The 2,203-nt window shown below is 36.1% G+C and overlaps 1 annotated feature.

The window, feature by feature from the left end:
- Positions 455–967: an enhancer, noted in NCBI's record as "OCT4-NANOG hESC enhancer chr12:38083766-38084278 (GRCh37/hg19 assembly coordinates)". NCBI's record gives its function as "activates a minimal SCP1, AML or CMV promoter by ChIP-STARR-seq in primed H9 embryonic stem cells {active_cell/tissue: H9 hESC(primed)}" and the evidence as "EXISTENCE:reporter gene assay evidence [ECO:0000049][PMID:30033119]".

Below are 2,203 nucleotides of genomic sequence, written 5' to 3'. Positions count from 1 at the left end.
AAAATATCTTCACATAAAAACTACACAGAAACATTCTCAGAAACTCCTTTGTTTTGTGTGCATTCATTTCGCAGAGTTGAATATTTCTTTTGATTGTGCAGTTTTGAAAAACTCTTTTTTCTTAGAATCTGCAAGTGGATATTTGGAGCCCTTTGTGTCCGGTGGTGGAAGGGGAAATATCTTCCCATATAGACTACACAGAAGCATTCTCAGAAACTTCTTTGTGATGTGTGCATTCATCACACAGAGTTGAAACATTCTTCTGATTGAGCAGTTTGCAAAAACTCTTTTAGTAGAATCTGCAAGTGGATATTTGGAGCCCTAGGAGGCCTAATATGGAAAAGAAAATATCTTCACATGAAAAGTACACAGAAGGATTCTGATAAGCTTCTTTGTGATGTGTGCATTCTTCTCACTGAGTTGAACCTATGTTTTGATAGAGCAGTTTTGAAACTCTCTTTTTGTAGAATCTGAAACTGTATATTTGGAGCCGTTTGTGGCCTATGGCAGAAAACGATATATCTTCACACAAAAATTACACAGAAGCATTCTTAGAAGGTTCTTTGTGATGTGTGCATTCAACTCACGGAGTTGAACCTATCTTTTGATAGAGCAGTTCTGAAACTCTCTTGTTCTAGAATCTGCAAGTGGATATTTGGAGGCCTTTCCCACCTATGGTGGAAAAGGAAATATCTTCACATAAAAACTATGCAGAAGCATTCTGAGAAACTTCTTTGTGATGTGTGCATTCATCTCACAGAGTTGAAACTCTCTTTTGACTGAGCAGTTTGGAAACACTCTTTTTGTAGAATCTTCAATGGGATATTTGGAGCGTATTGAGGCCTATTTTGGAAAACGAAATATCTTCACATAAAAGCCACACAGAAGCATTCTCAGAAACTTCTTTGTTATGTGTGCATTCATCTCACTGAGGTGAACTTTTCTTTTGATTGACCAGTTTTGAAACACTCTCTTTGGAGAATCTGCAAGTGGATATTTGGAGCGCTTTGAGGCCTACAATGGAAAAGGAAATATCTTCACATAAAAACTACACAGAAGCATTCTCAGAAACTTCTGTGTGATGCGTGCATTCAACTCGCAGAGTTAAACCTATCTTTTGATAGAGCAGTTTTGAAATTTTCTTTTTGTAGAATCTGTAAGTGGATATTGGGAGCCCTTTGTGGCCGATGGTGGAAAATAAAATATCTTCCCATAAAAACTGCATAGGAGCATTATGAGAAACTTCTTTGTGATGGCTGCATTCATCTCACAGATTTGAAACTTTCATTTGATTGAGCAGTTTTGAAACAGTCTTTTGGTAGAATCTGCAAGTCGATATTTGGAGCGCTTTGATGCCTATTTTGGAAAAGCAAATATCTTCACATAAAAACCACACAGAAGCATTCTCAAAAACTTCTTTGTTTTGTGTCCATTCATCTCACAGAGTTGAACCTTTCTTTTGATTGAGCAGTTTTGAAACACTCTTTTTGTAAAATCTGCAAGGGGATGTTAGGAGCCCTTTGAGTAATTTGTGGAAAAGGAAATATCTTCACATAAAAACTACACAGAAGCATTATCAGAAACTTCTTTGTGATGTGTGCTTTCATCTCACAGAGATGAAATTTTCATTTGATTGAGCAGTTTTGAAACACTCTTTTCATCGAATCTGCAAGTGGATATCTGGAGTGCTTTGAGGCCTATTGTGGAAAAAGAAATATCTTCATATAAAAACTGCACAGAAGCATTCTGAGAAACTTCTTTGTGATGTGTGCATTAAAGTCACAGATTTGAATACTTCATTTGAATGTGGAGTTTCAAAACACTCTTTTTGTAGAATCTGCAAGTGGATCTTTGGAGTGCTTTGAGGTCTATTGTGGAAAAGGGAATATCTTCACATAAAAACTACACAGAATCATTCTCAGAAACTTCTTTGTGATGTGTGAATTGACATCACAGAGTTCAACTTTTCTTTTCATTGAGCAATTTAGAAACACACTTTTAGTAGAATCTGCAAGTGGATATTTAGAGTCCTTGGAGGCCTAGCGTGGAAACGGAAATATCTTCACATAAAAACTACACAGAATATTTCTCACAAACTACTTGGTGATGTGTGCATTCATCTCACAGAGTTTAAATTTTCTTTTGATTGAGCAGTTTTGAAATATTCTTTTTGTAGAATCTGGAAGTAGATATTTGGAGCACT

The sequence above is a fragment of the Homo sapiens genome, chromosome 12 (assembly GCF_000001405.40).
Source record: "Homo sapiens chromosome 12, GRCh38.p14 Primary Assembly".
Lineage (NCBI taxonomy): Eukaryota > Metazoa > Chordata > Mammalia > Primates > Hominidae > Homo > Homo sapiens.
Note: the sequence above shows the minus strand (reverse complement) of the source record. Positions and strands in the feature narration are given on the sequence as shown.